Source organism: Homo sapiens, chromosome 11, assembly GCF_000001405.40.
Source record: "Homo sapiens chromosome 11, GRCh38.p14 Primary Assembly".
Lineage (NCBI taxonomy): Eukaryota > Metazoa > Chordata > Mammalia > Primates > Hominidae > Homo > Homo sapiens.
This window is the reverse complement of record NC_000011.10, coordinates 79,091,049-79,106,403: the sequence shown is the minus strand read 5'-3', so window position 1 is coordinate 79,106,403 and position 15,355 is coordinate 79,091,049. Positions and strand designations below refer to the sequence as shown.

At 46.7% G+C, this 15,355-nt stretch overlaps 1 protein-coding gene and 1 long non-coding RNA gene across 8 annotated transcripts in view, besides 1 other annotated feature; one reads left to right on the top strand and one right to left on the bottom strand.

Annotated features, from left to right (window-relative positions):
• TENM4 (teneurin transmembrane protein 4) overlaps positions 1 to 15,355 on the top strand; it is a 788,202-nt gene that overhangs the window by 334,627 nt on the left and 438,220 nt on the right. The gene's annotated exons all lie outside the window — the stretch shown is intronic.
• Positions 6,026 to 6,320: a silencer, noted in NCBI's record as "tiled region #11539; K562 Repressive DNase unmatched - State 12:CtcfO". NCBI's record gives its function as "represses a minimal TATA promoter and a strong SV40 promoter by Sharpr-MPRA in K562 cells {active_cell/tissue: K562}" and the evidence as "EXISTENCE:reporter gene assay evidence [ECO:0000049][PMID:27701403]".
• TENM4-AS1 (TENM4 antisense RNA 1) lies at positions 7,349 to 13,556 on the bottom strand. 3 transcript variants are annotated; one of them, NR_199025.1, is made up of 4 exons: positions 13,521 to 13,556; positions 13,053 to 13,199; positions 12,818 to 12,939; positions 12,569 to 12,669 (listed from the first exon to the last, which is right to left on the bottom strand). It is a non-coding gene; the product is annotated as a TENM4 antisense RNA 1 (long non-coding RNA). The 3 variants fall into 3 exon arrangements; NR_199026.1 differs by lacking the exons at positions 12,569 to 12,669; positions 12,818 to 12,939; positions 13,521 to 13,556 and adding an exon at positions 7,349 to 10,393 and having other exon boundaries at positions 13,053 to 13,131; NR_199027.1 differs by lacking the exons at positions 12,569 to 12,669; positions 12,818 to 12,939; positions 13,521 to 13,556 and adding an exon at positions 7,349 to 9,054 and having other exon boundaries at positions 13,053 to 13,131.

Genomic DNA, 15,355 nt, shown 5'->3' with positions numbered 1-15,355 from the left:
GTAGGGGGAACACAAGGACCCCAGCCTGGGACTGCCTGTCCCTAAGCAGCCTTTTTCCACTAGGCTGGGCTTCCTCCCAGAGGGTATTCTGCAAAGGTGTGATCCATGAATAAAAGCATCATTACCCAGCTATGCTGGGGAGATTCCTGCCCTCCTTCCCTCATCTAGGTAGCTATGCTCTGGCGCTAGACTTGAGTTAGGATCCTGCCTTTGCCACTTCTTCACTCTGTGACTTGGAGCAAATAATGTTACTTTCTGGGCTTCAGTTTCCTGGTCTATAAAAAGGAGATAATGATTTCCACTTCATATGATTATCTTGAGGCTTGAAGAGAGCATGTGTGAGACATTAGCGTGGTGACTAGAATCTAGGTAATTTGTTAAAAATAATATAACTTCTTGTTTGTGGTTGTATGAATCAGTGGTTCTGATTTTAAGATTTCATGGAAAAGCAAAATGTCAAAATAAAAGTTTCCAACATTTTGTTTTACTTAGGTAAGCCTTTAGAACATAATTAGCATCTCCTAGCACCATTAATTCATAATACTAAGTAGAGTTCACCCGGCATAAGCTGGTTCTCTCAACCAGCCAGCAACACTGTTACCTTGCTCTTGCAAACTGCTGCTCAGAGTCAGCCCTTTAGTCATCTGGTTTAGGGCAATAGCTGCCAAATTGAAGTTTGGGGACTTCTTTACTTCAAACCATGGGGCTGAAACCAGCTTGGGGAAGGGGGAAAGACATAGGCACTGACCAGCCTGCCTCATTTGGCAGGCCCCTACCAGCTCCACCTTTCCCTGACCTGAGCCTCATCTGCAAAGTGAGCCCTTGTTTTCTCAGCCAACCTTCCCAGCATCAGGAGCAACAAAGGTGGAACTTATATTATAGCTTGTGATGTGCTGTTTTTATATGAAGGATCAGCATCACTCTGCTATCTGACCTCAATGAAGGCAGGCAGGGCAGAGCTGGGAGGGCTGGGGAGAATTGGATTTGAATTATGTGAACTCTAGAGGATGAGAAGTCAGTGTTTCCACACATCCTTTGTTCCTGTGTTTCCAAACTGTAGTTCTTCACCCAGTGTCAGACTGGATTTGCTTGAGCACACAGGTGATGGGAAGTTGTTGTATTTAATAGATTTCAGCTCAACTAGAATTGCAAGGAAGCAATAACAGAAAAGGGAATTCCAAATGAAGCCAAATTATATTCATTTGTTTTACAACAACTATTAAATATGTTGAGAGGGTGAAAATAATGATTTCACCCTTTCGAACTGAAATTGGGGTTCGTTGGTGGCTCACACCTGTGCTATATTGAGTTGTGGGTTTGGTCAGGTGTGATTATAGAACTTAATTGTAAATTGCATCTTTCTGGCACATGCATGAATGTATTTATGTATTCTAAAACCTTTTAAAATCATTTTTGTAAAAATAATGTCTATGACTAAAACCTCTAATGGCTAAGTCACTAGCTCCAAGCAGCCGTTCAGTTGAGGCTTAGAAACTTCACAAGGGTGCTGGACAGTATTTGCCCAAGGGATGGAGATGAGCCCACCTCCTATCTCCTTCTCAACCCCCTTGGAGCCTTGTAAAGTGCTTTGTGTACAGTAGGATCGCTCACCTGTGAAATGGCCCCATTCTCACTACTTAGCCAAAGCCTAGTAATATCACATACTCTTTGACCCACTAATAACGTTTTAATGGAAATAAGCAGAACATCATGCAAAGGCATTTGCAGCAAGATGCTCATTGGCAGCATTGCTTATCATAATGGGAAGACCTGGAGCAACCTAAGTGTCCACCTGCAGGGTCCGGTTAAATCAATGAGGGTTACTCCATATGGGGAAATAGCATGCCTCCTTTAAAACCAGTGAGGCCCAGCTGTGATATGGATGTGAAAGATACTCATGGTATAGTAAGTGAGGTGGGGAAGCAGATTAGAAAGCAGTCTAAATAGAAAGGTCACATCTCTAATGTTAAAAACGTGATCGTATGAGCATACGTAGATGCAGAAAATGTCTAGAAGGATAGCTATGCGCTAAGATGTTAATTGTGATTCTGAGTAGTGAGGACACAGGGAGTCCTTATTATTTTCTTTATTCTTTTCTGTACTTTCAGTTACTCACAAAAATTTCTTGAATACCTATGAGACAAAATCCTTGCTTTTCAGAAGCTTACTATCTTGCTGGGGAAAGACAAGGAATAAATAATTAGACAATTAATTCCAAATGCTGATAAGTGCTGGGAAGAAAATGAGATGGTTAATTTGAGAAAAACTGACAGAGCAGGGGGAGGTGAGACCAATTTCAGCTAGGAAGGGAAGACCACTCTTTAGAGGGGCATTTAATTGAGAAAAATAGGGAAGAGAGACCCAAATGAAATCTGGGATAGGGGTGTTCTAAGAAGAAGAAACAGCTAACACAAACGCCCTGGATGAAAGAGAATTAGGTGCCATTACAACGTATTATTTCTATGATCCAGAAAAATTTTTATTCTAATATTCATTTGGTCCATTCAAAAAACCATAGGACCCATCTGAATCCTTCCATTCCGGAGGCCCAATCAGATAGCAGTTCGCCTAAGACAGCGAGTGGGGAGCAGAGGAAGGTGCCCTTCAAGTGCCCACTGCAGAATGAGTCTCTAGAAGGGGCATCTCCCAAGAGGCCAGCTCACAGTTTGCCTCACTTTCCTTGATTTTCAGCAATTTTTTTCTTTACATTTTGACATTTATGAAATCGGAAAGTATCTTACAATCCATGTGTACATTAAGGTAGTGCTTTGTTTGTTTTCTTGTCTCAGAAAGCCTATTACTGAATCGATGGTGCATCTTGCAATTGCTGGCATCTTAGGATTGATGAAATGCAGTAATGTATGCGAGTGATGCTAAGAGGACGGACCTTGGGAAGTGGAAGGGCCTTGGTGGAAGTCCATGATTCCACCTAAAGGGGATGCACTGTGGGCCCACAACAGTGGACTGAGTCTTCTAGACCTCTATGCACCCCAGAGCACCAGCCACAGAAATGCTTACAACATGGCCCTGGTCATCCTTCAGGGAGCAATCAGAATTATGTGCAATAACAATGTGTTATTTCTATAATCATACAACATTATTTTATTCTAATATGCATTTGATCCATGCTGGGTAAATCCCAGGGGAGGGGGGAGTCCTGGAGGTTGGGGGAGCCATCCAAGGGGGCATCCCCACCCTCCTTGGATTGTGGGGAGAGCCTAAGAAAGCTTCCTGAAGAGGTTACCAGGCAGACAAGGCAGAAAGGGCATTGGAAGCAGAGGGACAGCGGCACCGCCAGTGTATTCAGGGAGCAGTGAGCTGTTCCATCTGGCTTCAAGGCAGGATGAGCACAGGGAACACCCCTCATCTGGAGGTTGTACTGGGTCTTGGATGCATATCAAAGGGACTAGAGACTTGGAAAGACTCGACACCAAGAAGTGACATGGCTATGTTTTGGCTTTAGAACTATGCTGTCTAATGTGGTAGCCACAAGCCACAGGCGGCTATTTAAATTAATTAAAAGTGACCTTAAAAAAAATCCATAAGAACATCTGGAAAAAAAAGTTAAATGAAAAACTCAATTCCTCAGTCACACTAGTCACATCTCAAGTGCTCAACAGCCACAGGTGGCTAGCTGGCCACATGGACAGTGCAGATACAGAATGTGTGTATTGTGACAGAAAGTCCTTTTTGGACAGAGTTGCTTTGGAAAGATCACTTGAGGATGGGTGGATAGATGGATGGACAGACAAAAGCGATAGCAATGACCATGGTGCTTACGGTGTGCAAGGCACCATGCCAAGGGCTTCACATGTGCTGTTCCTTGAACCCTCATAACATCTCACAGATGTCCACCAGGTACCAGGAGCTTTGGGAGCAGGGACAAGGCTGTGGGTCATTTTTCAGCATTTCCCGATTATTTACCTAGCTCAGCGCTGGCTTCTCCAGGAGCCAGAGTATATTCTTATATTTTTCGAAGGGTGGCTGAGGAGTGTTGGAGCTTCAGCTTTACCATTGCACCAGCCCATGGTTGAACAAGAGGGAGCTCCCTGGGGATCCCCCAAATTTCATGATGAGCACTGTGCGACCTTCTCAGGAAGTTCTTCCAAGTGTCTAACCCAGCTTTCCAATGTATGACTGCAACAGATGCCTATTCCTTCTGTTTATTTTTCCCTCAGAAAATGGAGCCTATATTGTACTAACATTGATAACTGCTGTACTTGACGGACGCTTCCTCCTTGTCAGACACTGTCCTGATCACTGTACATACCAACTCATTTAATTCTCAGAAGAGCTCTATGCTCTAGCTACCATTGTTTTGCCCATGTTATACATCAGGAGACTGGGGCATGGAGAAGTTAAGAAATTTCCCAAGGTCATACTTTGCCCAAGCCAGTAGAAAGTGTTGCTAGGACTCAAACTCACACGATCTGGCCCTGGAGCCTGGTTCCTAGCCCTGGCACTATCCAGTCTCTCATCATAAATCTTCTGGAGCTAGAAGACAGCTGCCAAGTGCACTTTCCACCTGTTTTGGCTGGAGTGGTATGAAAACTTGATTCTGTTCCAGGAAACCTTGGCTGAAAGTTATGCCCAGTTATAACATAAATGCCTCACATTTGGGGGGCACTTTATGTCATTTTCAGAGTACTTTTCTGCCAGCAGTGCTTATGGTAATAGTCGTCCCACAGTTACAGCATGTTTTCTGGTTTATAAAGCACCCTCATTTGCATGTTCTCATTAAATCCTCACACCAGCCCTGAGAGGAAAGTGAGGCGCAGAGCATCATTTACCCACGTAACACAAGGAACCCAGAGAAGTAAAGCACTGTGCAGGATTACTCAGCCCTCCAGGACGCAACGGTTTCTTAATTCTGCTTCTATCAATCAAGAGCCTCTCCGCCATGTCAATCCATTTCAAAGTCAAGCCAAAGTAAGGGCTGTAAAGCCAGGACCCTGTGTGTTAGTCCTGGAGCATGCCAAGGTCAAGACATGGCCCAACAATCAGAAATAACATCAGAATAACTCAGACTTCCACCTAATATTTCTCAGAAGTTATCAAGAACCACCAAATCCACAGAAAAACTGCTTAAAATCCGCCTTTTCTCTCTGCCCTCTACTGCATTTACTGACATCAGCTTCTCCTATATCTCTTTTAAAATATTTTTTATGAAAATTTTTTATATTCTACAGAGAGTGTTTATAACAAATATGTTCAGTGTAAACAATAATGAGAAACTCTCATGGCCCCACCAGCTAGCTTAAGAAACAGAACATGATGCCACCTTTGAAACCCTGGGGATGGCCCCCAATACCCTCCCCTCTTCCCAGGTAGCTGCCCTCCTACACTTATTCTCTTGCTTTTCTTTATAATCCTGGATGCTTTGCAACCCTCCCCCAGAGAAGCACTCTCCCCAGTCCAGCCCACACGCCTCTGCAGCTTCCATTTTTGCTTCTTTCCCTACCCCAGTCTGGTGTGACCTTTTCTGGGGGATGGGAAAGGGCCTGGAGAAAATGGACAGAGGACACAGGCAGACTCCTTTCCAGATAAGGGGAGTGGAAGGTTAAGAACACCCCTGCTAAATACCTTTTGTCCACTTGAAAACACATTGGGAGGAGAGAGGGAGGGGCTTCCTTGTAAGTTTATTCCTGGAGCAGGTTGCCACTTGTCACTTGGAGCAAGTCCCTTCACCATATGGACTTCTAAACTGGAGGGGGACTGGCACAGATTGGGGTTTCCTAAAATTGTCATTGCTTCTACAGATATTTACTGAGCACTTACTGTGTGCCAAGCAGCGCCATAGGTACAGGGATGATGTCGTGGGAAATGAGACAGACAAATTCCCTGACCTCAAGGAATTTACCATCGAGGGCAGGCCTCAGTCCTGCCCCACAACTAGCTATGATCCTCCCTTTGTCATTGTAAGCTATTCACCATTAAAGGTTGAGGTGGGGATGAAATTAGATGATAAATATGGAAGTGCCTGGAAAATCAGAGGCAGGTCTTGGCTAACACTACTTAGAAGACACCCCACAATCCCTGAAACGAGGTCCACTGGGCACGGAAGAGGCTGGAGCTTTGGGTACTCACACCTGTAGTTACCCAGATCTGCCACTGGATGTCAGTGATGTGTAGGAGGGGGCGGGGACCTAAGGGTGATGAGCTTTTTAAGTTGAGAAAAGTGCGAAATAACTGCTTACAGTGTGCTATATGCTGTTCTCCATGTATTTGTTATAGCATTTGATGTTTACGGAAACCCTATGATTTGCATATCCTTATACCCATTTTACAGACAGGGAAACGTGCTCAGGGGAGGGATATAAGTGGTTGTCTCCCCTCCTCCACCTGAGAGTACCAGGCAAAGATTGCTAAAGATGCTAAAAACGGCCCTGGCGTGAAAGTGCTCAACCAGACAGCCCTTTACTGCTGCTAAACTGCTATGAACAGCATCTCCCCATACTTGGGGCAGCAAATGGCTGCACAAATGCATGAGAAACAAAAAGCTCCACAGCTGTTAAAACCCCCATGGGCACCCATGAAGGTTACAGTACAAGTGTTTGCTAGGCAGATAGATGGGTACAGATTAACAAGAGCCACGTGGTGACAGCAGAGCTTGCTGTGCTCTCTGTCAATCTAGAAGCAATCATGGCTATGGCCAACTTTTATGTTCCTTGTGGTGAGGATTACAAAAAGGTCTCTGGGGATCTTGCCTTAAAGAGCATACAGATGTATAGGGTGTCAGCATTGAAGAGCTGTAGTCCCAGTCCTTCCTAAACAATCCCTGAGAAGCTCTACTGAAAAATTAAAGGGGAAAGTGGGGGAGTATTCAAGGTCAAATTCATTTTGGGAAAATCTGCATGAAATAGTTTTGATGATCATTGCAATTAGTAGACCTGATGATGATATCATCCACCTCTTTGATATAGACCCAGGGGAGCAAGTGCTTTGGGAGGGGAAATGACTAGTTCAGGACCACAGAGGCAAAGAGGACACCATGACTCTGACCTCTCCCCATGGGACCTTAAATTCACACCATGAGAACGACAGGGAAAAGGACATGAACAATGGGATGGGATGTTCCACAGAAGACTATATGGGGGGCCTGCAAAGGAGAGAGGGTCTGGAGCAAAGGCACTGGGGCTAGATCCCCACAGAAGGAAATCCCAGCAGCACTCCCTCAGATGCACCCCTGGCAGGAGGGGAATCCAGGTGGTGCCCAAGGCAAACCAGAGACCCCCAGGAATGACTAAGGAACGGAGCTCCTCCAACAGGAGGAGGGAAGGCTCAGAGGTCCTTGTGGCAGGAACATCTCTGTGTACCAAAGTTCCCAGGTGAGTTACCGTAAGTCAGGTTTTAGCTCAGCAGAAAAAAATGCGTATATTTATTCCAATTAAACAGTTTGCAAAGCCATTTTTACATGTGTCATCTTATTCAATCTAGACAGTCACCCTTTGAGGGAGACCTTTCTATCCCTACTTTATAGATGGGGAAAGTGAAGGTCAGAGAAGTTGACTCATTTCCCCAAGTTCTGGAGCTGGGATTCCAATTCAGGTCTTACTAGCTGCAATACCACGTTCCTTTCACACTGAAATTGTCCAGGGATGATGATGATGATGTTCCTGATGTCGTTGATGGCTATGAGGTAGGACTCATTAGCCTCATTTTCCAGACGGAAGGTCTGAGCCCCAGAGAAGACCCATCGCTTGCCCAGTATGGCACAGCTGGTAGCTGGGAGAGATGGGTTTGGATGTACACTTTTCGTCTGCAAGCCTTGTCCTCTGTCTGCTTTTCTTCCGTACAGGTGTGCATGAGCTCCCGGTTACTCGAGTCATGGGAGCAAATTCTGATGGACTCAGCCAGCTTACCTTTAGGGTGAGTCCTCCTCAGGAGAGAGGTTGGGAGTAGATGGTAGCTAAGTGTCCTGTTTTCTACTTGGACTCTCTCAGACTCGTGCTGAGTGGAGGCCAGTGCACAGGCAGGTCCCTTGCTTAAAGCAAATTCCTGGGAAGTGATGAGCAGGGGTTGGGGAGTAGGCTGTCAGGAGCCAGGGGTCAGGAGAAGGGCCCTGGGGGCAGAGCTAGCTGTTTGGCTTTGAGAAGGGAAGCCAGGAGAGATAAGCAGAGCTGGGAGTGATGTGATCAAACTGTGAAAGATGATTCTCACTGAGCTGGGAGATGGGGGGGGGTGGGGGAGACACAAGAGACCCGCATGCAGGGTTTTGAAGGCAGCAGATACAGGGGCCTGGGAAGCCCAGACCAGGATCGCAGACAATCCTGGGAATGGATGATCTGGTGAGTTGAGAATAATCCATGTACTTTTACGATTATACTTAGTTCTTTGCAGTCTTCATTAGTTATGGGATAAATACTTCCCTTCCTTCCTTGGCTTCAACCTTTATGCTGCAAGTTTAATTTATCTTGGGCCACTATCGTTTTTTGTTTTACTAAGTTATCTGTATAGTTTCATGTTTTATTTGCTGGTGGTCAGTGTGCTGACTCTGAATTTTAATCCAGGTGGTGGTAATTTATCAAGGCTTCTTACCTTTTTCAGAATCTTTTTTCTTTTTTTTTAAAAAAAAAAAGCAAAATGTTAATATAAACTCAGTGAGGAGTTTGTGGGTGAGAAATATCATCTACTGTATCCCCAAAGTTGCCAAATGGTGTTGAGACGGATTCACATGTTCGCTGTTTCGTAACATCCTGGAAATGGCACCCTGCATGTTGATTTTTCTATTCTCAGCTTACAGGGCAAAATGGTCTTGACTTTTTCTACTTATTTTTGGAGAAAGTTCAAGGGGTAGGAAAAATTCCTTTGGCATATTTTGAAGAGAACAAAAATACAACCTGGCTTTTGTGTGGTGAAAATGTGGGAAATTTCAATTTCCAAATGTGCGTGCTGGAGGAAGCAAGCTGAACTTTGAGGCTGGGTTCCTGGGCCCTCAGCCCAAAGGAGGGAGGGGACGCTGGCAGGGGCTGAGCTGCCTTGGAAAATTAGCAGGCGATCCATGTTGGAAAGTGCAACTTCTGGTTCCTTCCTCAGCCTCCAGGGACACAGACTCTGGCGATGAAAAAGAACCCCACTTTGTCAAACTTACCCAAAGAATAGAAAACATAACCAAGGAAAGAAAACCTCTCCGACAAGGTTAACTCCTTAAGCACAGGTGGAGGAGGCAAATCCGGGAAAGGGAGTGGATTCCTTGTACCAGAGTTCTTAGACCTGGGCTCCGACGCCAGCCCCAGCATGGCTAGCAGCTTGTTCTGTGAAAGGCAGCCCACCTCTGTGTCCTCATCTGTGAAATGTGGATAGAGCCCCTGTCTCAATGCTTGTTGTGAGGACTATATGAGATGATGACTATAGTAGCTACTTTTATTACTTAGCATATACTAAATATTAGTGGTTGCTATTATCAGGTTTGTGTACTTCTACACAAGACCACATGAAGGGTGTGTGTGTGTGTGTGTGTGTGTGTGTGTGTGTGCGCGCGCGCGCGCATGTGCGTGCATGCCCACGCAAGGATTGGTCTTCCAAATAAGTAGATTGAAATGTGTGAGAATGGAGCAAATTGTTCCCTTAGCGGTTAGGATTTCCTGGGAAAATGTCTATAAGTTGCTGAGACTATGTCTTCTCATTGCCAGAATATTCCAAGGAGCAGAAGAAAAGTCAGGCAGTGGCCCAGCTGTTGCCTATCCTGGGCCACGGGTCCATATGTTTGGCTGGGTTTGTCCTTCTGTCATCCCAGCCTTGCCGGGGGTGGGTCAGGGGACATGTCCCAAGGAATGGCTTCCCTGGGTGCCTTCCAGACAGCTGCGTTCCTGTCCTAAAGAAACAGACCACCGGGGAAGGCACACCAGGGGAAGGGGAGAATTGCTGCTGTCCTGGTTTGGGTGGGGCTTACAGAGTGGGGGTGGGGTGGGGTGGGGGAGGCTTTCTAGGAACCTGAGTTTATTGGATTGGCAGGCCATCCTGAGGAGCTCCATCTGGAAATCTTCCCCCCAGCAAAGGCACCAGCAGTTTTCCCAAGGCTTTGTCAGTACATCATCCTAATGTATCTCCTTGCAGAGTCTCCTTGTTTCTTCATTGACTGTGTACTCGATGTCAGCCTGGTGCCGAGCACCAGAGGAAGCAGGGCCATTGTGACAGTGAACATTTGTCAGTGGCTTGCCAGGACCCAGCATGGTGCTAGGTGCTTCCTGGGAATGATCCTCAGCACAGCAGGTCCCTGGGGCAAGTAGACAGTACCCCCATTTTGCAGAACAGGAAACAGAGACCCAGAGATGTTGCATTACTTGTGGAAAGTCACACAGCTGTTAAGAAGCAGCATTGGAATCCAGGCTCTGACTCTAGTATCCACACTTGTAACTTCTGTGTGCATTGTTGCCTGGAAGTCAGACACCGTCTGGGCAGAGGAACAAAGAGATAGCAATCGGATGGCACATGAGAGACCCTCAATGGGTTCTCCCGGCCTGGCCTGCTGTTAGAGGCCAGGTGCTGCCATGGGAACACAGGGTGTGGGAAGTAAATGAAGCCAGGCTGACCCCTAACTCTGCTACTTACTATCTGTGAGGCATTAACTCCTATAAGCTTCTGCAAATCACATTTAAAATACTTTGCCAGGTTACTGAAAGAAATACTGATGACTGAGTGACCCAGCACCTCTTGGGCATGTGTCTTTAAATGGAAACTAGTACTACAATGGCTAAGAACTGAGAACTTTATGGCTTCAGTGAGCACTGGGGAGTCTGCTTCCTTCCTGGTAGGAGGACCAGGTTAGTCACCAGAGGGGCCTCAAACTGGAAGGGCCTCTGGAGGTCACCGGGTCCCTGGGTCTCCTGGCAGGTTGCCGGCCTGGATGTCAGCCTTGGTAAGGGAGTCCATCCCGTTTTATAAACTTCCCAGGGCAGATAATGCAGTGTCCTCTCATCACTCATTAGGGCTATGGAAGAGCTTGGAAGAGTACAAAGGAATATATACTTGCTATTAATGATATGGCTTGTAAGTTTTGTCTTTGGAGTTGGTAGAGAAAGACTCGCTAAGTGTGGGGTACTGTGCAAGGAGGCAGAGGGCAAGAAGCAGAGATTTCAGTGTCAGAACTGGGTTCAAATCCTGCCCTGCTGCTTACCACCTGGGCGAGGCACCTGCCCTCTCAGAGCTTCCATTTCCTCATATGAAAAAGGGAGAGTCCTCCCTCCCTGAAAGGGTTGCCATGAGGAGTGAAGGCTGGCTCTAGGGCTATTTCTGTGGGCAGAGCTTCCTGACTGCAGCCTGGACCCCATTTCCAAGAGGGGCCTGCTCCTGCCCCTTCACCCCCCTCTCCCCACCCCTATCAGGCAGAGCCAAAAATGCCCAGGCTGATGCAAGATCTTGGACATGGACACATCTCCTGCCAGGCATGGCTGACTCCAAGCCTCCTTGCAGGGGAGAAGGGACAGATCTGCCCCTGTCCTGGGTCTGGCCTCAGATCCTTTGACACATCTCTAGACTAATGCAGAGTTTAAGGATGATGCAGGCATTGATCTGGGACAGCCTGGAGCCACAGGCAGCCTCGTAAATCAGGCCCCAGCCTTTGAATCTTCCGCAAACTCCCTGGGAGAGCCCTAGCACCTTGATCTTCTTGCAGTAGGAGCTCCTCCCCCACTGGTCTGGAGTCTCCAGGGGTGACTGGGGCCTGATTTACGGAGGCCTCTAATAGCAACAGCCCAGCCTGGGAGAGGAGGCCCAGGAAAGAATGATTTTGCCCTGTGACCTAGCCTCCTAGGCTGGGGAGACAGTCAGAGCTGAAGGGAGGACTACCTCTCTCTGGGCCTGTGTGGACAATATCCCCCACCCCCCAATGCCTACTGGAATTTGACACTTCTCACTGATTCACCCCTTTCTTTCACAAGGGAGTGAGGGGAGGAAACACCTCCAAACCTGACATCCTGGAAAAGAGGCATGGTAGACGAATATGGGCTCGGAGTCAGATCTCGATCCATATCCCAGCCCTACTGTTTCCTAGGCATGGGGTCTTGGACAACTCTTTTCACACCCCTGAGCTCCGTGTCTTCATCAGTCACATGGAATTTAAAAATGGCACTTGCACAGAGCTGCTGTGAGGGATAAATGGGCCAGCACATATAAAGCATACTGCACAGTGATTGGCCCATCACAGGCACTCAGGAAGTGTTCTCTCCCCTCCTTTTTCCTTACTCCATCCAAATACTCAGGCTGTCTGGCCCCAAAACCCATGCTTGCTGTGCAGTCCTGTGCTCTCTAGGCAGGGATCTGTGAGTTATTTTCTGATTATCTCAAGCTTCTGAACCAGCTCTGTCCAGTGGAACCTTCCGCCATGATGGAGATGGGCTATGTCTACAGTCTCTAATGCAGTAGCCACTAGCCACATGTGGCTATTGTACTTTTGAAATGTACCTAGTATGACTAAGGAACTCAATTTGTAACTTTGATTTTAATTAGAAACTTAAATTCAGCTACCTGTGCCTGGCTGGTGGCTGCCATATTGGACAGCATAAGCCTAAACCGTAAAGATGGGATGTGAAGACTTGGCTTGGCATTGGCTCAAGGTACATGGCCTTGGGCAAGTCTTATTTAGTGTTTATTGAGTTGAGAGCAATGGAGGCTCCAGGAGGAGAAGACGTAAGCCCTGGAATTGTCCTGTTGCATGGATGAGATTTGCACCTATGAGACAGAGACAAGGGGATGCATTCCAACTCCTCCCCCAGCATTTCTGACCTCTAAGCCATCCCCACTCTGGATTGGGCCTCCCCCTCCTTTGTTCCCACTGTGTCTAGTGCTTTCTTTGCCCCAAGGACTTCCCACACTGGACCATAAATACTGTTTTCAGGATCAGCATCTCCTCCCACTTTGCCATCACAGTGAATCATCATACAGCAGATGATCAGAGGCTGTAGCCTCCACCCAGGAGAGGATGGTGCCTTGAGTGGGGCCCTAGGAATGGGGGAAGTAGAAAGGGAAAGTTGCTCTACTCCACCGTCCTTAAAGGTGGCTCGTAGTCCTCATGCCTGTCACTTTCCAATCCCAAGATGGCCAGCAGAGCTTACCTTTATGGCAAGAAGAACAAGTGGCATCAGCAAAAGCCCTCCCAAGCTCCCTCTGCCAGTCCAGTGAACTTCCTTTTTTCATCTTACTGGCCAGAAGTGGGTCACATGATTACCACTAGCTGCAAGGGAGGCTGGGAAGTTGAGTATCTGGCAAAGAGGAAACAGACTTGTCTTGATTGCCTTAGCCAAATTATGAGTCATTGCCCCAGGGCTAAGTGTGTTGCTTTCTCCAGCAAAATTTGGCTTGTGTTAGCCTGGAAAATGGGGTAGAGAATGATTCTTGGGTTAAGTCACTAACACCACCTGTCTCAGTAACCATTGCACAATTAGTATAGCATTGTGCAACTTACCAAGTACTCTTGACATGTAATTCTGTTTGAGCCTCTCAAGTTTGTGAGACAGCTCAGTGGTTACAATCCTCATACTGCAGATAAGGAAAACAAGGCTCTGAGAATTAGAGTAACTTACCTCAGGAAACAAGGGATCCAGGGCTAGCAGCCAGCTCTCCAGATTCTAGAGCCTCCTCCTACGAACCAGGAGAAAAGCCTCAGCTGGGAGCAGCAACCAGAAGCCATTTATCTTTGTATTCTAAACATCTGCCTCTGTGGCCTGGCACAAAATAGGTGTTCAGTAAATGTTTGATGGATCTATTAATTAATGCATTACTTTATTAATGTACTAACTTGACTCATTGAGCAGGGGATAAGAATGAAGAGAACTGGCCGCCTACTCTTTAGTTAAAATAAGCAGCATGAACCCTTTCCAGGCCTGGCTGGCTGTGAGCATTTCATTTCCTACCAATTGTGCACACTCTGCTAGCCATGTGAGAAGATAGAGGCCACACTTAGAAGGTCCACTGATGGCCAGGATGTGATGGGGGACAAAGCTGGGTCCATGCGAATGACGCAGTCTCCCGAGAACTTGGCCTAGGAGTCAGGAGGTCTCCATCAGGGGAGAATGGAAGATCTACTGGGAAAGGTGCATGAGGAGGGGAGTCAGTGATCATTCACTTGGCTCCCTCAGCCTTGAAAATGGTTCAGCTCAGTAAACATCTCACGCATTGCCACAAACCTGTGTCAAGAACATGTACGTACACTCATTACTTTGAAAGTCAGTCTGCCCCACCAGACTGGGCGCTCCCCAAGGCAGGCTCTAAATCCCATCTGCATCCCCAGTGCCTGGCAGCAGAGATGGAGTTGGAATGGAGGGATGTAAAGAAAAAAAGGCCTGCCCCTTGCCTCCAGGGCTCACCATATTTTGAATGAGACCAACACCCACCTAAATAATAGACAAATTGCAGAGCACTGAGCTCTCCAACAGAATCCAGGAGCACTGGGTTGGGGAAGTGAGGGATGATGAGGCGATGAAGTCAGGGGGCATGTGGGAGGGCATCTAAGGAAGCTCCTGGAGGATTTAAGCGTGACTCCCAAGTTAGGAAGGAATTACAGCTGGCAGCCATGAGGGGAAGGTTATTCTAGGGGAGGGCAGCATGCGTACAAAGGTTTGGATGCAGGAGATGACAGGTGTGCAGGCCAGAGTGGCACTAAGTATATTTGAAAAAAGAGGGTGGAGATGAAATAGGAGAGGTCACATCAGGTGTGAGGATGTGAAGGTCTGTGTTGGCATCCTGCAGTCCCATGTTTTTCAGACCTCAGTGTCATAGGAGTCACCTGGGGATCTAATTGCAGATTCTGATTGAGTAGGTCTTGGGGAGAGCCTGTGATTCTGTATTTTTAACAAGCATAGTAATGCTGATGCTACTAGTCTATGTGTCACCCCTTGAGTAGCAAGACTTTAGGCAGTAGAGAACCATTTAAGGTTCTGAGCAGGGACAGGATTGTGGTCTGATTTGCTTTTTAGAAAAATTACGCTGAAGACTGCAAAGAAGCTTCCTCCGCAGGGTAGAGGAATGCAGGCAGGATGAGAGATTTATTTTTTTTTATATCTCCAACACCTAGAATGGTGTCTGGCTCATAACAGATAATCAATAGATATATGTAAAAGGAATAAATTAGCCATTTATGACGGACTTCTTAAATGAGAAAACAGGAAGAATGAATGAATCAAGTTATCCCAGGCTGACAAGCTGATACTTTATAAATCATTCATTCAGGCCAGTCCAAATAGAGAATAGGTCTTAAGGCAGTGGTTTTTCTAGCTTGTTTTTAGACAAAGATCTGATTGCTTAAATGAAACTCGAAATGGAAGCCCAATATGTGAATCACATAAAAAATAAGTAAGCGCCTAGGCTGGACCGGGAGTAAGAGCTCTGAAACCTAACAACCTACTCCTTCCCCTTTCTC